Source organism: Homo sapiens, chromosome 1 (genome assembly GCF_000001405.40).
Source record: "Homo sapiens chromosome 1, GRCh38.p14 Primary Assembly".
Classification (NCBI taxonomy): Eukaryota; Metazoa; Chordata; class Mammalia; order Primates; family Hominidae; genus Homo; species Homo sapiens.
In genome coordinates, this window is record NC_000001.11 from 114256959 (window position 1) to 114258786 (window position 1828).

Below are 1828 nucleotides of genomic sequence, written 5' to 3' on the forward strand. Positions count from 1 at the left end.
AGAAACACCAGAGCAGACTCTTAGATGGCCCTTATGAGCATGCCTGGCCCTTGTGCTTCTTGCCTGATTCTCTACCTCCTGCCTCTGTATGCTCCTCCAATCTTTCCAAACTGGACTCAGCAGTTTCTCTGCACCTGCCACCTAGTTACACTTTTGTACCACAGACTATAGACTCAGATAGTTCTGAGTTTGAATTGCAACTGCCACTTAGGACAATATGAACTGAGGCAGATTCCTTAATCTTTCTGTTCCATCATTTACAAAATGGGGCTACCAACCACAGAAGGTCATCATAATCAGATGGAATAATGCAAGAGAAACAGCAAAGCACTCACATAAGAAAGGCTCTTGGTTGCTGTTGTTGATGTTCTTATTACCTTTGGCTTTGGTGATGAGCACCCCTCCCATGACTCACTGGTTCAATTACGGTCTGTGGCGTCTGTGTATAATTCTAACACTTGACACAGACAGAAATAAGAGCTCTCCTGGCTCCAGGGTCCAACCTTAAAGACAGGTCTCACATCTGTACAAGTCAAGATTATTGGCTGCAAGCATGAGACTAACCTGCAATCATCAGTAGAAAAGGGCATTTACTGGAAGGATAAAAGCAACTTTCAGAATCCACTGGTATTGGGAGAACCAGGCACAGAAAATGACAAGAGTTTACTCATGTCCAGAAAGCCAAGGCAGCCATCCTTTGGCAGTCACTCTCTGCTGCTCCTGAAGTGAACTCTAATTGCCTCTTTCTCTTGGTTCGCCCCCTCCAGGTTCAAAGTCCCAGACAGGGACATCTGACTGGCCCAGTGCAGGTCATGTGCCTGCACCCTGCAGCCAGGGTGTGGGGAGAAAGACCACCTGACCCTTGGGTTTCTATAGGAGGAAATGAGACATTGTCTCCCACCAGGATGATACACACTGAGAAACTCCCAAAACCAGAGAAAGGAACTGGATGCTGGAGAGTATATTAGTTAGGGTTCTCCAGAGAAACAGAACCAGTATGATGCACCTGTACATACTATACAGAAAGATGTGGATTATAAAAAATTGGCTCACATAGTTATGGAGGCTAGCAACTCCTGATCTGCAGGGTGAGTCAGCAAGCTGGAGACCCAGGAAAACTGTTGGTTGTTGTTCCAGTCTAAAGACAAGAGGCTCAAGACCCAGGAAGAGCCAGTGCTTCCATTTTAGTCCAAAGGCAGAGGAAAGCCAATGTCTCCATTAAAAGGCAGTCAGGCAAGAACCATTCTCTCATTTTTTTGGGAAGAGGGTCAGCCTTTTTGTTCTTCTATTCGGGCCTTCAACTGATTGGATGAGGCCCACCCACATTAGGGAGGGCAAACTGCTTTACTTAACTACCTATTTAAATGTTAATCTCATCCAAAAGCAATTTCATAGAAATACCCAGAAGTATATTTGACCAAATATCTAGGCACGCCGTGGCCCAATCAAGTTGACATATAAAATTAATCATACAAGTGATCCCCAGTGTCTTTCAGGATTCTTCAAGAGGCCTGGAGTTTCTTGCTGGAGCTGCTTGCAGGGATGGGGCTTGTTGTATGGGGCACTATCTCCTAGGCAACACAGAGGCTGCCTTGATGTCTACAGTAGCCCTCAGGCTGAGGTCATGGGAGAATCCATTGTTCTGCAAAGTAGACCCCAGACTGCCAAAGTTTGAGAATCTTGGGTTATGAGAGAAATACACACAGTCTTTTCCACAGCAAACTCCTCAGGCCAGTTTCCCCTCACTGGTATCATATGTTAGGATTAGACACATTTTCTGTCCTTATGAGTCTCCCTTCCTGGTCAGGATTTGCAATGGCCCTTTTTA

The 1828-nt window shown here is 45.6% G+C and overlaps 1 annotated feature.

Annotated features, from left to right (window-relative positions):
• Positions 460–928: a silencer, noted in NCBI's record as "fragment chr1:114800040-114800508 (GRCh37/hg19 assembly coordinates)". NCBI's record gives its function as "represses an EF-1alpha promoter that drives an FKBP-Casp9 reporter gene in an ReSE screen in HepG2 liver carcinoma cells {active_cell/tissue: HepG2}" and the evidence as "EXISTENCE:reporter gene assay evidence [ECO:0000049][PMID:32094911]".